Source organism: Homo sapiens, chromosome 8 (genome assembly GCF_000001405.40).
Source record: "Homo sapiens chromosome 8, GRCh38.p14 Primary Assembly".
NCBI classification, from domain to species: Eukaryota; Metazoa; Chordata; class Mammalia; order Primates; family Hominidae; genus Homo; species Homo sapiens.
In genome coordinates this window covers 87,619,779-87,641,492 of record NC_000008.11, presented here as the reverse complement: position 1 = coordinate 87,641,492, position 21,714 = coordinate 87,619,779, and the positions used below count along the sequence as shown (strand labels likewise).

Genomic DNA, 21,714 nt, shown 5'->3' with positions numbered 1-21,714 from the left:
TGGGTTCTGATACCTCACGCTGTTTCTCCCTCCAGGAGGATGCTCTCCTTGCCTTGTTCAGATTCTACCAGCTGAACTCACATCAGGAAACTTCAGGGGGGATTTTTCTGTTTTTTTCTTTTTGTAACTGGGACATATGAGACTTTTTCTTGGAATCAGTCTTCTCTCTCGGAGGGATATCCCATTCTGCCATTTTTTCTGTGTCAAGAGGCCTTGATTAGCTGTAATCCTGGCCTGTCCTCTCACACTAGCGTCTCCCAAAAAATTCCAGTGGCATTTTTGGGGCTACAAATTAGCATTTGCAGATAAGATCTGTTTCCTCTTTCCTACTTCTTGAGAACTCGCTGCCCAGAGTATGCAGCTCTGGTCTGGTCAGTTTTGTCCCTTGCTCTTGTAAGTTTTAAGGAAGTATCTTAACATGGAGAAGCCTGGGTTTTTCCATTGTAAGCTGTACTTTGTTCATTATTCTGACAAATTCTGGAGTTTAGAATCAGAAGATAGATTATAGTCACAGACTTAAGCTTCAATTGCTAATATAAATATCAGCTTTATTAATACAGGTAATTGTTTCATGTCCAACTGCCTAACTCTTGACCTACTTTTTTCGTTTTAATTTTCTTAAAAGGCTTTAGTTTTTAGAATAATTTTGGATTTACAAAAAATTGAGCAGAGAGTAAAGAGAGTTCCCATGTCTCGCTCCCCCCATACACACAGTTTAACCTATTATTAAGATCTTACATTTTTATGGTATATATGTTACCTATACTGAGACATTATTATTAACGAAAGACCATACTTTATTCAGATTATCTTAATTTTTGCCTAATGCCCCCATTCTCGTCCAAGATTCCATCCAGGACATCACCTTATATTTAGTCATCATGTATCTTTAGCTACTCTTGACCGTGATAATTTTTCAGACTTTCCTTGTTTTGGATGACCTTGCCAGTTTAGGACAGTACAGTTCCTCATAGTTTAAAACGGCATGGGCTTGGGGAAGGAAGACTAAAGAAGTAAAGTGCTACTTCACTATATCACATCAAAGTTACATACCATCAACATGATTTATGACTGTTGGAGCTGACCTTGGTCACCTAATTTAAGTAAGGTTTATCACGTTTCTCAATTGTAAAGTTACTCCCTCTTCAAGGGTGAATTTTAAATATTAATATTTTCTTTTGAATGGGGGGATACTTAACATATTTCTAGGATGATTGACAGGAACAAATGATGAAGGTGAGTAAGGGAGAAGATAATAAGGTTGCAAATTCAGAGGAGAATGGAAGGGTTTCTTGGCAATGACACAAGTGGGCAAGATTACCTTGGCTTGAGATGGAGACTATAGAAAAGATGCCAGGAAATGTGGCCCTGTGGTTATATTTGAGCATATTTCAAGTATTCATTTTTTTAATGGGATAGTTTATGTTGTTTGTTTAGTTTAGTTTGGTTTGGCTGAGTGAAAGGAAGTGGCTAAGACTAGCCACAGAAGAAAATAGAAAAGTTAAACAACTAGAAACTTGTGCAAAGACCATCAAGCAACAGTTGAGGGTCTATTTGAAGTTAAGAACTATTGGTTTTTCCAGATTACATAATTTTATTCAGATAATACAAATAGACCATTGGTTTTAACCATGGTTGGGAATTGTCAAGATCAAGTACAGTGGAAGGTTGTGGGGATATGAGGTTTTAGTGAAAGGAGAGCCGAACTATCTGAAAAAAAATAAAGAAACTGAAAGCCCTGAAGGAACTGGAAGAGCATGATACTTATGAAGATTTAACAAACTGATAGATTTCCTGTATTTGAAGTGTGAATTCAGTGGAATGATTGAAATAGTGGTAAAAGAAGGATGTGAAAAGAGAAATTTCATGTATCAATATGTGGGACACATTATGGGGGAAAATGCATCAAGTTTAGTTTGTGGTCATATAAAAATTATACCAAAGTAGAAAGGTGGTTAAACTACAACAAACATTAAATTACAGGAACTTAACTTTAGATGATGTATGTTGGTGATAATCATGCATATTGATATACTCGTGATGGTAGAATATGAAGGTGAAAAGAAAGTGAGTCAGGTGCTATAGTCTTTTAAAAATAGCATCATCTTATGACTCTAATAGATAATTGTAACAAGGATAAGAAGGTGGTGTGCTTGGAGTTTCATGGGAGGAGTGATAGTTGGAAGACAGTGTGGAACCTGAGGAATGTTAGAACCTTCTGAACTTTATGGTGAAGGAAAAAATGAGGAAGTGAGTGGCCTTCTTGTAAGAGAAAAGCAAGATGCATGAGAAATGTAAGTTTTAGCTAATAAGAGAATGGGTGAAATTAGAGGAGGTATATTTTTAACACAAATCAAAATGACAAAAATGTATAGACAATGTGGAAATTTACATTCTTTTCTTTAGTTATCAATATAGATATAGTATTCTGGAATATAATTTCCTCCTCCTAGATATTGAGTAATAAAATTTGTAAAACATGAGAGTGAAAGTTTTGATGATACTGTGATAATAAATTTTTGGGAGGTGCAGAATATAAGCAGAAGAAACAATGGCAAAAGGAAGTAAAATTAGGGTGATAGGCTGTGGCCCTAAATTCCAAAACTTACCATTCATCAAAAGGCTGCATATGTGCAAGATTGGAAAGAGAATTTATGCTCCTTACAAGTTTGAATTTGGTTTATCAGAAATAGGCCCTGAGCCTACGAAACATTTGAACTGCTTGTGTTTCCTAATGCTAAATATATTCCAATCAATATCCTGGAATATGATTAGTATTTGTCCATCTTTCAGAGGAGGTTTCTTATGCTAATTCATTTGCATTTCATATTAGTGACATATGAATATTATTAATTTTTATTTCTTAACTCCTACCCATTTCACTGTAACTTTATTTGGAAACCTTGTGTATTAAAAATTTCTCTCTATAAAAATCAAACAAAAGTACTCTATTTTCCATGTGTAAGAAATGATGAATTACTATATGAGGACTTTTGGAATTCTTTACTTAATATTTCAATAACTTTAAAAGTTCCAAATGTTTGAAATTGTAGGGTTTTGTTTAAAATACACACCACCTATGAGGAAGACATTTCACTTCTGGATATACAGCCAAAGAAATTTAATTTCATGTACAACAAAAGTCATGGGCAAGAACTTTAAAAGCAGCATTATGTGTATTACTCCATAATGGGAAACAAGTAAAAACCCCATTATTAGGGTTATAAATGGAAAACTATACAACAATGAAAGGGTGCAAATATTGTTATATCCTACAGTATGAAAGATTTTCACAAAAAAAATTTGAGTAAAAAGAGCAGCATAAAATAGAGTACACACTGTATTAATCCATTTACATAAAGTTTAAAAATAGTCAATATAACTAAATAAATGTGTGGTGACAGATATAAAAATAATACTTACCTTTGGGCTCAGGATATGAAGGAGGCTACTGGTATGTGAATAATGGTCAGGCTCTTTTTCTGGTTATACTCATGTATACTTATGGTTTATACACTTATCTATATGTATGTCATAATAAAAGTTTATGTATTCAAACATCATTTGTACATAAGGCTGTATTAGCTGGCTACTGCATAAAATGGCAGTTTTAATGCAAACATTGACCTCCAATCCCACCAGAAGCCCTTATAAGATAATTTTTTACAAAATATATAAAACCATAATGATGAAGAGGAAAGTCTGATAGTAGCAATCCAGTTTTAGAACATGGAAAACAGATTAATGAAGGATAAGTAACTCATCAGATTTTAAAAGCTATAAACCAGAAACAGTTGTAGTAAACTAAAAAGCGAGCTGATACCAAAGGCTCACCAATCTGGCAGCAGTTGTATTTCCTGTGTTCCCTTACATTCTGTTCATCTGGATGGGCGGCCTATTTCAACCTCTCCATGAATGCAGCATGTAGGTAATTCTCAGGACATTGTCAAAGAGACAATCTATGCATTGAAGGATAACAAGTACAATGGAGGCTAGATGTATTATGTTCAAAATAGGGACATTAAGTGACTATTTACACACTAAACCTTGAAATCTTTATTTTTCTTAGTGCATCTGGTTCAAAGATTACTATCAGCCAAAATTACACCCTCCAGGCAGGAAATTGGGGAAGACATTTCTGGGATGTCTGACAATCCCAAAACACAGGAACTGAAGATAATAACAATATCAGTTCCAAATTAATCTAAGTTATCTTACTCTAAAGGTGATAGCCAAAGAGGCCCTCTCACACACGAAGAGCTACTAATAATTTTGTAGTCCCTGATATAAGAAGAAGGTTACTATAGATAATATCTAATAAAATACAGAGACAGAAAGCTAAAACAAAAACAAAAACCCAGCTACTTGGAGGAAGTAATATGAAAGGATAATTTAAAAAAATTAAAGACTATCCTGACCAGTAAGGCAGAATTTGTTTTCATATGATAAGAAAAGGATACTTTTAAATAGATTGTTCTATTTAAAATGATAATTTATAAAGAATTTAGAAGAGCACTTGGATGTGAAAACCCTGTTACCAGACACAAAAGTACTAATAGAAGTATTGAAGTCAAATTTGAGCAAAATTAAGCAAAAGGAGAACAAATGAAAAAGAAAAATATGAACAGTTCAGAAAGAAATATATAGCAGTATTACAGGACTAGTCTATGTGGTTCAGTATCAAAATACTAGTAGTTTCAAAACAATCAAATGGAGAAAATGGAGTTGAACACATTAGTGACAAAGTGATTCAAGAATATTTCCTGGGACTGTTATAAATAAAGTTTCAGTGCCACAAAAGAAATAGCACTAAAATATCACATTTTCTTTTTTTCTTCTCAGCAAGGCAATTTACTTCTATAGAAGGGTGCGCCCTCACAGATGGAGCAATGGTGAGTGCACACCTGGACAAGGGAGGGGAAGGAGTTCTTATTCTTGACACCCGTGGCCCCTGCTGCTGTGTCGTTTCCCTATTGGCTAGGGTTAGACTGCACAGGCTAAACTAATTCTGATTGGCTAATTTAAAGAGAGTGATGGGGTGAGTGGTTTGGCAGGAAAAATGGTTATAGCAGAGCACGAAATTGGAATGAGTCAGGGTGGAGCAGGTAATCGGAATGACTCGGGGTGGAGCAGATGATTGAAAAAGGTTGCTTTATGAGGAAGTTAAGTTTAAAAGTAGAGGGCAAAGAATTGAGCACACTGACATATTGATTCTTTGAAGAGAAATTTAGAATTCATATCTAACAGGACCAAACACCTACTGAATTCTCAACAAAATAGAAAATAGAAGACCTTCACCAAGACACGTTATCATAATACTTCCCATTTTTGGAGCAAATAAAATAAAAATTTAAACACAGTTCAGAGAGAAAAGAATCAAGAATGAAAATGGCACCGGAGTTTGTCAACCCAAGTCTGAGAAGTAGGTGGTGCCAGAGAAATGCTTTCTAGATCCTGAGGGCAGATATTTTCAATCTGGTATTCCATACCCAGGAAAACTAATATTTGACTTGAATGTACCTCAGAATTTGTAGACTTGCAAGGTCTAAGACATTTATATCACATGATTCTATTCTTTGGAGGTGACTGGAACAAACTCCATTAAAATAAAGGAGCAATCTAAGAGAGAGCTGTAGGATATAGAAAATTGAAAGACCAAGAAGAGAATGGGGAAGGTTAGTCTCAAGATTATGGTGAATGGCAATTCGGGGGTAACAAATTCTATGAGAAGTCTAGGATTTAACAAATTAAGTTCAGAGCAGGCCAGAAAATTCTACAGAGACTTCCTGAAGGATGAACCTGATACAATTCCTATTATGTTCGAACATAGCAAGAAGAGATCTACATATTTGACACGAAGTGTGCAGCTAAGATAATAGTTCATGAAAACTGTACAAAAAGTGAGAGAAAACTAAATAAGTTTTAATCCCTGTGAAAGCAACAATTTTAACATTCATACATTTGTTTCTGGAGGATAGGGGAAATGAAAAATGAAAGTTACAGGCAGAAGTGTGCATATATTGGTATATAAAACAGATTTAGGTGTTTCTCTTTAATAGAAGAAGAGAGTGATAATTCTCTGAGTTTAGTACACAGACCCCTGGGGAATCCCAAAGACATTCTTAGGTGGTCTATGGACTCAACACTATTTTTAGAATAATGCTTAGTGTTATTTGCCTGTTCCATTGCACACGGTGTTAAAACTGCTGATCAACAGTGCATCAACACAAAGAAAGGAGTAGACTCCAAGATGTCCTTGTCATTGTATACTTCAAAAAAAATTTTTAGAGTATTACTGAAGAATTTACCTGATGAGGTAAAAATATTAATTTTATTACGTTGTAACCATTGGGTACACATTTTTAAAATATTCTGTGGGATGAAATGGTAAGTCCACATACAACACTTCCCCCAGACACTGACTGCAATGGTTGTTTTGAAAAAGTGTACTTATGCAATTGAGTTGTGATCTAAACCTTTTACATGGAATGCTGTTTTTATTAAAGCAAAAAACTGCTATACAAATATGAGTATTCATATTTGGACATTTGATAGACATTTTCTCAAAAATAAACAAAGTGAGCCTGTCAATTCAATAGACAGTATTTATTGTCAGTGATAAAATTTGAATTTTCAAACAAAGATGAGAATTTTTGCAACTTTTTTAATGACTTGACAGCCTCCAAATACTTAAAGACTTTTCACATGTGGTCACTGGTGGTACTAATGAACATGAATTTTTGATATTAAAAAGGGAAGTGTGTCAACACTGGATGACCTGCATCATAGCCAATGTTTTCCAAATGTCCAAATGTATGCATGTTATCAAATCACCTATATTTGGGTAAAAGATCCTCAAGGTACAAGAGAGACCAGTAGATTTTAATGTAAGAGTTTAATATAGTTTCAGGTTTTAAATTGCAGCTAAATGTTAAGAAAGTGCTATTGTCTAGTTTTTATTTAGTATCAAAGAAAAATATCCACAATTGTGTGATAGAATTTCTCTTTCTCAAGTATATGCGTTGTGAGGCTGGATTTTCTTCATATACTTCAAAACAATGTTTTGTGACAGACAGTACAGAAGTAGGTGTGAGAATCCAGTTATTCTCTATTAAGTAGACATTAAAGATATTTGCAAAAATGTAAAGCAAGCCACTCTTCTTACTAAGTATTTTTGTTTCAGAAAATGCTGTTATTTTTCATAGAAAGATGTTATTGGTGTAATTTGCATACATTATTATTACACCAAAATGTAATAAACAACTTGTAAAATTTCTAAGTTTTAATTTGTAGTATGGTAAATATATACATATACATATACTTCTCTTTTCCATTCACCAAGTAGTTACAAGCAGGGTTCAGATTCTATCTGTGCCACTTCCATGGAAACTGAGAAACCTGAGCAAGTTATTTGTCCCCTCTGAGCTCATTTCCCATTTGAAATATAGACTTGGTATTATGGGTCTTGAAGGGTTGTTGTGAGGTTTAGAGATAATATCTAATGTAAATATGATACATGTAAACATATGACATAATATGTCCAGCACATTGCAGATACTTAATAAACAATAGCATTTGGTATCCAGAAAAAAATCAATAGATATAACCCATTTAAAGAAAAGTTCTTTGGAGGTCCTTCTTAATTTTTAAAGTGCAAAGGGGTCCTGAGATGAAAATGTTTGCGGACACTTGGAGTATACAATGCTCAGAATTGAAAAATCAAAATGTAGTAATGTAGCAATTTAAGCGTTATTGAAGTTATGTTTAGGGAGGATATGCTGAAGAATTATTTGACCCTTAAAGATGTTTATAATTTTAAAATTATCCCACTACATAAAATGTAATATAGATAAAAAAATGTACACTTATGATAATGATTTGTGAATTGTGGCTTGTATAAAATTTGCAGTGAACTCATTTTCCCATTAATAATAATAGTTAATAAAGGTTATGTTATTACTTTACAGATTTTGTATCAGAAGTATAAAGTATATAAGGCCTAGTGTTTGGCACATTATGAGTCTTGCTGTTTTTAATTGTTTATAATTGTCATAATGATTGAAGAGGAAAATGGTGATCTGAGAAAATAAGATCCAAAATAGGTAGAATGTGTGTTTTTTTCCTGCTGTACTATCCACGACTCTGATTTTCTACTATGCTATATGGAATGTTGGAAGTATGTTTCACAGAAGGAACTCATGGGCCCTAAGGTGATCTAATGGCATAATACCACAAACTACCTAGCCTTAGTTAGCCACTTTCTCATCGGTTTGTATAGATTATCCATGACGACATTTAATATATTTTTTTAAAAACACTTTGTTGCTAAAATATTTTAAAACTACTCATCTAGTCGAATTCAGCTTCTACTGAAGAACTTGCAGTCATTGTTTTACTATAAATATCTAATTGATTAAGAAAAAATGACATTATACCTTCTAAACTGATAAACTTTTGTTTTTACTATTAAATCTTCGTTTCTTCATTTTTTAAATTAAATCTATTCCCAAGAAATTCTTTTTTTTTTTTTTTTTTTTTGAGATGGAGTCTCACTCTGTCGCCCAGGCTGGAGTGCAGTGGCGTGATCTCTGCTCACTGCAATCTCTGCCTCTTAGGTTCAAGCGATTCTCCTGCCTCAGTCTCTTGAGTAGCTGGGATTACAGGCACGCACCACTATGCCTGGCTAATTTTTTTGTATTTTTAGTAGAGACGGGGTTTCACCCTGTTGGTCAGGCTGGTCTTGAACTCCTAACCTTGTGATCCACCAGCCTCAGCCTCCAAAAGTGCTGGCATTACAGGCATGAGCCACAGTGCCCTGCCAAGAAATTCTTATCTTTCAAATATAATGTTGCCATTCGTAACTCATTTGATCAAAATACATTCTCAAACTCAGAACATTGGAATGCACTCATTTGCTCATCTACTTGTGAGCTCTAGAAATCTCCATCACAATCACTTGGCTCTTTGGAATGAGTTCAGAGGATACAGAAAGTGAGAAAACCACAAAGCTATGTGATATCTGGGCTTGGATTTATCTTCTCTATAATCACGGATTGATGAAATATGGCTCCAAAAGAATTGCCTGACCTTTTAATATCCATCTTGGATGTACAAAGCCCATAAGATAGTACCAATTGGATGAGTTACCCTTAGAAAAAATTGTTTTTTCCCAACATAAACAACGTGTTTTCATTTACCAATCATAGCCCCCCTTTCTCTCTATGTATATTCAAAACCTGTTTGGATTATAGACATTAATCAGATGGCAATTCAACAGTAAAGTTAAAATGGGCCTGGCAGGTGGCTCACGCCTGTAATCTCAGCACTTTGGGATGCCAAGGAGGAGGAGGAATCCTTTGAGCCCAGGAGTTGGAGACCAGCCTGTGCAACGTGGTGAAACCCCATCTCTACGAAATATAGAAAAATAGGCCAGGTGTGGTGGCTCACGCCTGTAATCCCAGCACTTTGGAAGGCCGAGGCAGGCTTATCACTAGAGGTCAGGAGTTCGAGACCAGCCTGGCCAACATGGTGAAACCCTGTCTCTACTGAAAACACAAAAATTAGCTGGGCATGGTGGTGTGTGCCTGTAGTCCTAGCTACTCAGGGGGCTGAGCCAGGAGAATTACTTGGAGAACCTTGGAGGTGGAGCTTGCAGTGAGCTGAGATCGGGCCACCACACTTCAGTCTGGATGACAGAGCTAGACTCCGTCCTCCCCCCGAAAAAAGAAAGAAAAGAAAAGGAAAAAGAAATATATATATGTATACACACACACACAAATAGCCCAGCAGCATGGTGTTGCTCCTGCAGTCCCAGCTACTCAGGAGGCTGAGGTAGGAGAATTGCTTGAGCTTGGAAGGCAGAGGTTGCAGTGAGCTGAGATCTTGTCACTGAACTCTAGCCTGGGCAACAGAGCGGGGACCCTGTCTTAAAAAAAAAAAAAAAAAAGGAGTAAGTTAAAATGTAGCCCTATGACGAAATACTTCTTGAGACTAGGCAATGAGACGTTTCCATGAAGAGACTGCATTTGCTGGACAGATGCATCCCTAGTCACCTCCAAGAGGAATGACCCCCGCACATTTATTAAGCTTTAAGAGAAGAAACAAAGAGAGATGGCTGTTTGGACGGCTTTTTAGTAATCAGGCTCTGAACCCTGACCCAGGAATATTTCCACATGGAAACAGCAGTTAAACCTGGATTACATGCAGGCTAGGCCAAAAAGAAATGCAGAAGAGGCTGAGCTATGTGTACATATTGAAAGAATTGCATTCTTTCAATTTCTGCAAATACGTGTCACTTATTTCCATGAGGAGGAGTGAATGAAGTAAAGAGAGAAGAACCTACTTCCCAAATGCTTCCTAAGATGATAGTTTTTTTTTTTTTTTGGTACTTACAAGAGAGTAGAGAAAAGCTTTTCCCTAAAATAATTGCTTAAGATTCCCAGTCTTTAAAAGTGAGGATGCCACTGTATATAAGCAGATTATATAATTACCTACTTGCCTCAAATATTCTCTTATCCAGGGTTTCTAGTTCTAAAATCACAAAGCATTTTAAAATAAATAAATGATTTTAGTGCCTATTAAGTGGCAAATACTTTCCCCTATGTTGTTGTATTGCTTAATTTTCTTTATATATATATATATATATATATATATATATATTTTAATATACTTTCCAAGGTTTAGGGTACATGTGCACATTGTGCAGGTTAGTTACATATGTATACATGCGCCATGCTGGTGTGCTGCAACCACTAACTCGTCATCTAGCATTAGGTATATCTCCTGATGCTATCCCTCCCCCCTCCCCCCACCCCACAACAGTCCCCAGAGTGTGATATTCCCCTTCCAGTGTCCATGTGATCTCATTGTTCAGTTCCCACCTATGAGTGAGAATATGCGGTGTTTGGTTTTTTGTTCTTTCGATAGTTTACTGAGAATGATGATTTCCAATTTCATCCATGTCCCTATAAAGGACATGAACTCATCATTTTTTATGGCTGCATAGTATTCCACGGTGTATATGTGCCACATTTTCTTAATCCAGTCTATCATTGTTGGACATTTGGGTTGGTTCCAAGTCTTTGCTATTGTGAATAATGCCGCAATAAACATACGTGTTCATGTGTCTTTATAGCAGCATGATTTATAGTCCTTTGGGTATATACCCAGTAATGGGATGGCTGGGTCAAATGGTATTTCCAGTTCTAGATCCCTGAGGAATCGCCACACTGACTTCCACAGTGGTTGAACTAGTTTACAGTCCCACCAACAGTGTAAAAGTGTTCCTATTTCTCCACATCCTCTCCAGCACCTGTTGTTTCCTGACTTTTTAATGATTGCCATTCTAACTGGTGTGAGATGGTATCTCACTGTGGTTTGATTTGCATTTCTCTGATGGCCAGTGATGATGAGCATTTGTTCATGTGTTTTTTGGCTGCATAAATGTCTTCTTATGAGAAGTGTCTGTTCATGTCCTTCGCCCACTTTTTGATGGGGTTGTTTGTTTTTTTCTTGTAAATTTGTTTGAGTTCTTTGCAGCTTCTGGATATTAGCCCTTTGTCAGATGAGTAGGTTACGAAAATTGTCTCCCATTTTGTAGGTTGCCTGTTCACTCTGATGGTAGTTTCTTTTGCTGTGCAGAAGCTCTTTAGTTTAATTAGATCCCATTTGTCAATTTTGTCTTTTGTTGCCATTGCTTTTGGTGTTTTAGACATGAAGTCCTTGCCCATGCCTATGTCCTGAATGGTATTGCCTAGGTTTTCTTCTAGGGCTTTTATGGCTTTAGGTCTAATGTTTAAGTCTTTAATCCATCTTGAATTGATTTTTGTATAAGGTGTAAGGAAGGGATCCAGTTTCAGCTTTCTACATATGGCTAGCCAGTTTTCCCAGCACCATTTATTAAATAGGGAATCCTTTCCCCATTGCTTGTTTTTCTCAGGTTTGTCAAAGATCAGATAGTTGTAGATATGCGGCGTTATTTCTGAGGGCTCTGTTCTGTTCCATTGATCTATATCTCTGTTTTGGTACCAGTACCATGCTGTTTTGGTTACTGTAGCCTTGTAGTATAGTTTGAAGTCAGGTAGTGTGATGCCTCCAGCTTTGTTCTTTTGGCTTAGGATTGACTTGGCAATGCGGGCTCCTTTTTGGTTCCATATGAACTTTAAAGTAGTTTTTTTCCAATTCTGTGAAGAAAGTCATTGGTAGCTTGATGGGGATGGCACTGAATCTGTAAATTACCTTGGGCAGTATGGCCATTTTCACGATATTGATTCTTCCTACCCATGAGCATGGAATGTTCTTCCATTTGTTTGTATCCTCTTTTATTTCCTTGAGCAGTGGTTTGTAGTTCTCCTTGAAGAGGTCCTTCACATCCCTTGTAAGTTGGATTCCTAGGTATTTTATTCTCTTTGAAGCAATTGTGAATGGGAGTTCACTCATGATTTGGCTCTCTGTTTGTCTGTTGTTGGTGTATAAGAATGCTTGTGATTTTTGTACATTGATTTTGTATCCTGAGACTTTGCTGAAGTTGCTTATCAGCTTAAGGAGATTTTGGGTGGAAACGATGGGGTTTTCTAGATATACAATCATGTCATCTGCAAACAGGGACAATTTGACTTCCTCTTTTCCTAATTGAATACCCTTTATTTCCTTCTCCTGCCTAATTGCCCTGGCCAGAACTTCCAACACTATGTTGAATAGGAGTGGTGAGAGAGGGCATCTCTGTCTTGTGCCAGTTTTCAAAGGGAATGCTTCCAGTTTTTGCCCATTCAGTATGATATTGGCTGTGGGTTTGTCATAGATAGCTGTTATTATTTTGAGATACATCCCGTCAATACCTAATTTATTGAGAGTTTTTAGCATGAAGGGTTGTTGAATTTTGTCAAAGGCTTTTTCTTCATCTATTGAGATAATCATGTGGTTTTTGTCTTTGGCTCTGTTTATATGCTGGATTACATTTATTGATTTATGTATATTGAACCAGCCTTGCATCCCAGGGATGAAGCCCACTTGATCATGGTGTATAAGCTTTTTGATGTGTTGCTGGATTCGTTTTGCCAGTATTTTATTGAGGATTTTTGCATCAATGTTCATCAAGGATATTGGTCTAAAATTCTCTTTTTTGGTTGTGTCTCTGCTGGGCTTTGGTATCAGAATGATGCTGGCCTCATAAAATGAGTTAGGGAGGATTCCCTCTTTTTCTATTGATTGGAATAGTTTCAGAAGGAATGGTACCAGCTCCTCCTTGTACCTCTGGTAGAATTCGGCTGTGAATCCATCTGGTTCTGGACTCTTTTTGATTGGTAAGCTATTGATTATTGCCACAATTTCAACTCCTGTTATTGGTCTATTCAGAGATTCAACTTCTTCCTGGTTTAGTCTTGGGAGAGTGTATGTGTCCAGGAATTTATCCATTTCTTCTAGATTTTCTAGTTTATTTGCATAGAGGGTTTGTAGTATTCCCTGATGGTAGTTTGTATTTCTGTGGGATCGGTGGTGATATCCCCTTTGTCATTTTTTATTGCGTCTATTTGATTCTTCTCTCTTTTTTTCTTTATTAGTCTTGCTAGCGGTCTATCTCTTTTGTTGATCCTTTCAAAAAAACAGCTCCTGGATTTATTAATTTTTTGAAGGGTTTTTTTGTGTCTCTATTTCCTTCAGTTCTGCTCTGATTTTAGTTATTTCTTGCCTTCTGCTAGCTTTTGAATGTGTTTGCTCTTGCTTTTCTAGTTCTTTTAATTGTGATGTTAGGGTGTCAATTTTGGATCTTTCCTGCTTTCTCTTGTGGGCATTTAGTGCTATAAATTTCCCTCTACACACTGCTTTGAATGCATCCCAGAGATTCTGGTATGTTGTGTCTTTGTTCTCGTTGGTTTCCAAGAACATCTTTATTTCTGCCTTCATTTCGTTATGTACCCAGTAGTCATTCAGGAGCAGGTTGTTCAGTTTCCATGTAGTTGAGCGGTTTTGAGTGAGATTCTTAATCCTGAGTTCTAGTTTGATCGCACTGTGGTCTGAGAAATAGTTTGTTATAATTTCTGTTCTTTTACATTTGCTGAGGAGAGCTTTACTTCCCAGTATGTGGTCAATTTTGGAATAGGTGTGGTGTGGTGCTGAAAAAATGTATATTCTGTTGATTTGGGGTGGAGAGTTCTGTAGATGTCTATTAGGTCCGCTTGGTGCAGAGCTGAGTTCAATTCCTTGGTATCCTTGTTGACTTTCTGTCTCGTTGATCTGTCTAATGTTGACAGTGGTGTGTTAAAGTCTCCCATTATTAATGTGTGGGAGTCTAATTCTCTTTGTAGGTCACTCACGACTTGCTTTATGAATCTTGGTGCTCCTGTATTGGGTGCATATATATTTAGGATAGTTAGTTCTTCTTGTTGAATTGATCCCTTTACCATTATGTAATGGCCTTCTTTGTGTCTTTTGACCTTTGTTGGTTTAAAGTCTGTTTTATCAGAGACTAGGATTGCAACCCCTGCCTTTTTTGTTTTCCATTGGCTTGGTAGATCTTCCTCCATCCTTTTATTTTGAGCCTATGTGTGTCTCTGCATGTGAGATGGGTTTCCTGAATACAGCACACTGATGGGTCTTGACTCTTTATCCAATTTGCCAGTCTGTGTCTTTTAGTTGGAGCATTTAGTCCATTTACATTTAAAGTTAATATTGTTATGTGTGAATTTGATCCTGTCATTATGATGTTAGCTGGTTATTTTGCTCGTTAGTTGATGCAGTTTCTTCCTAGTCTCGATGGTCTTTACATTTTGGCATGATTTTGCAGCGGCTGGTACCGGTTGTTCCTTTCCATGTTTAGTGCTTCCTTCAGGAGCTCTTGTAAGGCAGGCGTGGTGGTGACAAAATCTCTCAGCATTTGCTTGTCTGTAAAGTATTTTATTTCTCCTTCACTTATGAAGCTTAGTTTGGCTGGATATGAAATTCTGGGTTGAAAATTCTTTTCTTTAAGAATGTTGAATATTGGCCCCCACTCTCTTCTGGCTTGTAGGGTTTCTGCCGAGAGATCAGCTGTTAGTCTGATGGGCTTCCCTTTGAGGGTAACCCGACCTTTCTCTCTGGCTGCCCTTAACATTTTTTCCTTCATTTCAACTTCGGTGAATCTGACAATTATGTGTCTTGGAGTTGCTCTTCTCCAGGAGTATCTTTGTGGCGTTCTCTGTATTTCCTGAATCTGAACGTTGGCCTGCCTTGCTAGATTGGGGAAGTTCTCCTGGATAACATCCTGCAGAGTGTTTTCCAACTTGGTTCCATTCTCCCCATCACTTTCAGGTACACCAATCAGACGTAGATTTGGTCTTTTCACATAGTCCCATATTTCTTGGAGGCTTTGCTCATTTCTTTTTATTCTTTTTTCTCTAGACTTCCCTTCTTGCTTCATGTCATTCATTTCATCTTCCATCGCTGATACCCTTTCTTCCAGTTGATCGCATCGGCTCCTGAGGCTTCTGCATTCTTCACATAGTTCTCGAGCCTTGGTTTTCAGCTCCATCAGCTCCTTTAAGCACTTCTCTGTATTGGTTATTCTAGTTATACATTCTTCTAAATTTTTTTCAAAGTTTTCAACTTCTTTGCCTTTGGTTTGAATGTCCTCCCATAGCTCAGAGTAATTTGATCGTTTGAAGCCTTCTGCTCTCAGCTCGTCAAAGTCAAAGTCATTCTCCATCCAGCTTTGTTCCGTTGCTGGTGAGGAACTGCGTTCCTTTGGAGGAGGAGAGGCGCTCTGCTTTTTAGAGTTTCCAGTTTTTCTGTTCTGTTTTTTCCCCGTCTTTGTGGTTTTATCTACTTTTGGTCTTTGATGATGGTGATGTACAGATGGGTTTTTGGTGTGGATGTCCTTTCTGTTTGTTAGTTTTCCTTCTAACAGAGAGGACCCTCAGCTGCAGGTCTGTTTGAGTACCCTGCCGTGTGAGGTGTCAGTGTGCCCCTGCTGGGGGGTGCCTCCCAGTTAGGCTGCTCGGGGGTCAGGGGTCAGGGACCCACTTGAGGAGGCAGTCCGCCCGTTCTCAGATCTCCAGCTGCGTGCTGGGAGAACCACTGCTCTCTTCAAAGCTGTCAGACAGGGACACTTAAGTCTGCAGAGGTTACTGCTGTCTTTTTGTTTGTCTGTGCCCTGCCCCAGAGGTGGAGCCTACAGAGGCAGGCAGGCCTCCTTGATCTGTGGTGGGCTCCACCCACTTCGAGCTTCCCAGCTGCTTTGTTTACCTAATCAAGCCTGGGCAATGGCGGGCGCCCCTCCCCCAGCCTCCCTGCTGCCTTGCAGTTTGATCTCAGACTGCTGTGCTAGCAATCAGCGAGACTCCGTGGGGTAGGACCCTCCGAGCCAGGTGTGGGATATAATCTTGTGGTGCGAGCGCAGTATTCGGGTGGGAGTGACCCGATTTTCCAGGTGCCCTCCGTCACCCCTTTCTTTGACTCAGAAAGGGAACTCCCTGACCCCTTGCGCTTCCCAGGTGAGGCAATGCCTCGCCCTGCTTCGCCTCACCCATGGTGCGCGCACCCACTGACCTGCGCCCACTGTCTGGCACTCCCTAGTGAGATGAACCCAGTACCTCAGATGGAAATGCAGAAATCACCTGTCTTCTGTGTCGCTCATGCTGGGAGCTGTAGACTGGAGCTGTTCCTATTCGGCCATCTTGGCTCCTCCCCTTATTGCTTAATTTTCATAATAAAGACAGAAAGTCTTCAAGTAAGATATTGAGAATATGCATAAAATTAAGTAATATGTAAATATTGCCCAATAAAAATGAAAGGTAAAATTTTAACTCACATCTCTCGTATTCCATGCTCCCTCTTGTATGACACATGTAAGTTTTACCAAGATTCCTAGAGAATGACTGTGAGGAATGTGGAAAATTATCATTGAATCAATTCACTCTAGCATCAATTTTCACTTAATTGTCATATATTCTCATCTGGTGGAAAGAATTGGAGAAGTGTCCATCTTAAAGGACTGATTCCCTGGACTATGGCTGAAGTAAAATAAACTCAGAAAGTCAATGAAGGACTTCAGAGACAGTATTTTTTTTTAACTTTACCAACTGTCTTAGGGTTGGTCCTTTTCAAAATGTGAAATACATTTTACCTCTAGAATGTCAATGCTGAGGTTCTGTATACTGGAGACAACAGTGATTTGTTAACTTACACGGGGAAGAAAAAAAGAGAACTTGTTATTCACATTCACTGCTGCTTGCTGCTGTTGGTTGGCTCTGTGGTATACCAAGGACCAAATTCCAAGTTTGGCTGACGGGATCTTCAACGGCTTTCAAACAACATAACAACAACAAAAACCTTAGCCAGTTCCCTTATTATTCAAACCATGTTATTACTAAAATATAAAAAGGGGGAGTATCTTATTGAAAAAAACAGGATTGTCTAATTCTTCAAACTGTTACAGACTTTTTCTGCTTAAGACAATGATACAAACTGCTGTTCTATTACTTTCATATAGAACCAACAAAAGCCATTGTCTAAAGAGTCCACACATATGGTATTTATAAGTTTGGTTTACTTCATATGATTTTACTTTGGACTTCCTGCAACTCAAATATTCTTCCTTTTCAATTACTGAAGGTAATTTAATAATGCTGTTTTGCTTAGACAAAGAACTATTCATTGTTTAAAAATCAAAGAATGACTTCGAGAACTTCAAGGATGAATGAATTCCAATTTTAGCTTTTAGAAATTTGTCTGTCACATTTTATGATACCAGGCCTTAGCTGATAAAGTGGCCTCTGTCTTTAGCTTCAGAGACTATGAAGGAACCGGCATCATTTTAAAAATTAAATATTTCATTCTATTAAAAATCTCCACTGATAAAATATTAAATTAAAAGATAAAACTCTGAAATCCCTTCCTAAAAATTCAGGAATATGCCCATGGGTAAAAATAAATGTAGTTGGAATATCCAGGATGTGAGACCAAGCAGAGATTTACAGAAAGAGTTGCAGTAGTTGTATAATCTGGGAATTAAATTATGTAATGCACTATTTCTAGAGAGGAGCTATAACTTAACTCCACATTAACTATGGAGAAACATATTTAAACTGTGAGGACTTAGAAATGGCAGCAGAAGGAAATATCTGTCCAGACCAGGAGAGCCACATTAACAGATGTATTATAGAACAAAAATATGTGTGAGGTTATCTCATGGCAGCATCCAGTTTGATTGTGATGTTGATCAAAGAGATGATTCACACTCATTAAGTGACAAAAATTGGACATGTATAGGTTGTCATTCTTTCAAGGATGAATAAAACGGAGAAAAATTATTTAGGTGGCAACCACAACAAAGAGTAAGTGATTGACTTTAATATAGGTGCAGAATAAATTTTAAGTATGTAAAGGCTTTCTACAAAAACAAAAAAATGTTTTAAATACATATGCATGTTTCTTCAATAAATATTACATAACAAAGAAAAACGAGATGAAAATAGAGCTATCTTGAGATACAGAATAAAATTTTAAAAAGTTAACAGATATTGAGAATAAGAGCAACTAAAAGCACAATAGCAAATTTTGTTTTTAATTTTTTTTTTTTTTTTTTTTGAGATGGAATCTCACTCTGTTGCCCAGGCTGGAGTGCAGTGGCATGATCCCCACTCACTGCACCTCTGCCTCCCGGGTTCAAGCAATTCTCCTGCCTCAGCCTCCCGAGTACTTGTTATTACTGGTGTGCGCCACTATGCCCAGCTAATTTTTGTATTTTTAGTACAGACAGGGTTTTGTCATGTTGGCCAGGCTGGTTTCAAACTCCTGACCTCAGGTGATCTGCCCGCCTTGCCCTCCCAAAGTGCTGGGATTACAGGCATGAGCCACCAGCCAACAACAGCAAATTAAAATGTGCTTTAGAGGTACCAAGAAGAGAAAGTATATAATTATATCATATACAATTATATCAGTGATATTGGGGAATAGAGAATCTCCTTAAGAGTAAAAGAGAAAAAACATACAGGAGAAAATGATCAGAAAGATGGTAACTGTGGAGAGAAGAGAGATGATCCAATTTATAGATGATCGGAATTGAGAAAGAACCAGAACAAAACTGCCAAGTAATAAACAAACATAGAATAAACTGATAACACCCAAATCTTTACAGCAAAACCATCCACTTTGATGCAATGACAAATTTTTAAAGCTGCTTGCTAAAATTTTTGGTTTATGAGAATAAAAAAAGTTCTTCAAGAAAATAAGCTTGAAAATAAACCATAGTGCTATTATATGTGGGATGCATTCAATTAAAATTAACACATTATTTTAAAATATATGTTACCAATTGGATAATATGCAGTTTACAAGTTGGTTTCTTCCAGGAATGCAAGGGTAGCTCAACTCTAGAAAACCCACTGAAGTAAACTGTAGTATCTCTAAGTCAATGAAAACAAATCTCATGGCAAGAGCAGTACTTTTTGAGGCTCTTCTGATTCCAGGGCCACCTGGACTTTATAAAGGGAGAGTCTGCTGGAATCAGGCTCAGCCCCTCTTGGAGCAGCACTTACTCGCAGGGTTCTTCTTTCCTGTATTGGGCCTAACAGTGGAGAGATATATGGGCAAAAGGCTGAAGTGTTGTTTGCTCAAAACTGTACGAGGAGAAAGACTTCTGTAGTTTGGGGAAAGGCAATTGTCAAAAGTACAGTTTGCTGACTTAAGAGAAAAGAACAATTTTTAACTGTTTGTTCCCTTTACACTTACATAGAACCAAATGTTTTTCACCAATCTGGGTTGAATTTTGTATTTCTAAATAAGATTGGAGTCAGTAGGACTTTGAATTTCTTCATGTCTCATCATCAAATTTTCACTGAGCAGTCTCATTGCAATTATCATTCAACACACAGAGGCAGTTTAATTACATTTCCCAATATAGCTACATTATCATTTCATATAGCTGTCATCTTGATCCTAAAATAACCATAGTCTCTTTCCTGTGAATGTTAACATATCATAAACAATAACTCCCATAAAGTGACCTTTTCTTGACACAAAGCTGAAAAGAAATAGTGGTATGTAGTTTCATGCTCAAAAAGCCCTTTTGAAAATTAGCAAACTCTTTAGAATAAAAGCTTTTGTTAGTGGCCATTGTCACAAATCACACTGTGTATGGTCCACAAAATTGGCATAAATTTACTGCAACAGACAAGCAAACTTATATCCACAAGAAGTTACAAAATATGGCCTTGTCCCATTATTTTCACTTAGTACACAATCTATTTAAGAATTTGAATTATTAGATACCATTAGAAAACCTGAAGATTTATGAATTTGAATACCAGCCCCACCTGTGCTTCCTGCAGTGATTATTTATCTGAATATCGGTGCAAAATTATAACCACATACTGTCTAGTATTTCTTTATGTCACCAGGCAAGCTAGTTTATTTTGCATAGATGACTCACTAGAATTTGCTTATTATTTTACTTTCATTTTAGTAAACATATTTAGGAAGGGAAAATCTACTGCAAATGAGCCCCAACAAAGAAAGCTATATTTAATATACCTACCTTCTAGTGCATTAAAAAATCATTTTTATCTCCCATTACTTTTTGATTATACAAGAATAAAGAGAAAAATTTTAAGATACAGAAATATTTGTTTATGACTTTTAATAATGTGGGAGTGTAATTCAATAAAGATATTGAACATAGAATTACAGAGCATAAAAAGTGACTTTCTTTGTTGCTTCCAATATTAAAATAAAAATTTGGGTCAAATAAAGTTTTTTGTTAGTTTATCATCTTCCCTTTTGTTTTAATGAGCTCTTTTTTCATATTATTTCCATAAGCCTAAAAATCAGAAGCAAATGAAGACCACAGTTGGGAATTTCTTGACTCTTCATTTTTTTTTTTTTTTTTTGAGATGGAGTCTCACTCTGTCACCCAGGCTAGAGTGCAGTGGTGCGATCTTGGCTCACTGCAACTTCCACCTCCCAGGTTCAAGCCATTCTCCTGCCTCAGCCTCCCGAATAGCTGGGATTACAGGCGCCTGCCACCATGCCCAGCCAATTTTTGTATTTTTAGTAGTAACAGGTTTCACCATGTTGGCCAGGCCTGTCTCGAACTCCTGACCTCATCATCCGCCCACCTCGGCCTCTCAAAGTGCTGGGATTACAGGCGTGAGCCACTGCGCCCAGCCGACTCTTAGTACTCTTGATTTCTCAATATTTTATTCTTTTATTTAGTTTCTTCTTTGCCCTCACACATAGCCTGTTGAGTTAACCATACATTCCAATTAATACTACATTATCATAGTTATCTATATCAAGAAGTTTCTCTTTTTATTTTCTTCTCCTTCATTCCCATGTGATGTCATACTTCCTTTGCTTGTTGCCTCATGGGTACTACTCTATTGTGTTTGCTATGTCTTTAAATTCTCATGGGCTTTGGTATAAAACATTGCTTTGTATTGTGTGTATATATTTTTTAATTCCATAAATGTTATCGATCTTTGTACATATAAACCATTTTTTCTTTTTTCACACAATACTGTTTTTATAATCTATGTTAGTGTGTGTATATATATTATATATACATCTACATATATATGTACAGCCTCTAATTGCTGCATAATATTCTATAATTTAGTCCACTACATTTTAATTATGTTTCTCTTAGAGTGGATATTTACTACAAACAAATGAGAAGCAATTATTAGAATTGAATGTGCATATATCCCTAGCAGTGGAATTTCTGAGTCCAAAGTTATATAC

General features: G+C 36.9%; 1 long non-coding RNA gene across 1 annotated transcript in view, besides 1 other annotated feature; it reads right to left on the bottom strand.

The window, feature by feature from the left end:
• The window catches only part of LOC105375626 (uncharacterized), a 58,659-nt gene that overhangs the window by 26,939 nt on the left and 10,006 nt on the right, over positions 1-21,714 (bottom strand). The gene's annotated exons all lie outside the window — the stretch shown is intronic.
• Positions 15,787-16,359: an enhancer, noted in NCBI's record as "NANOG-H3K27ac-H3K4me1 hESC enhancer chr8:88637362-88637934 (GRCh37/hg19 assembly coordinates)". NCBI's record gives its function as "activates a minimal SCP1, AML or CMV promoter by ChIP-STARR-seq in naive H9 embryonic stem cells {active_cell/tissue: H9 hESC(naive)}" and the evidence as "EXISTENCE:reporter gene assay evidence [ECO:0000049][PMID:30033119]".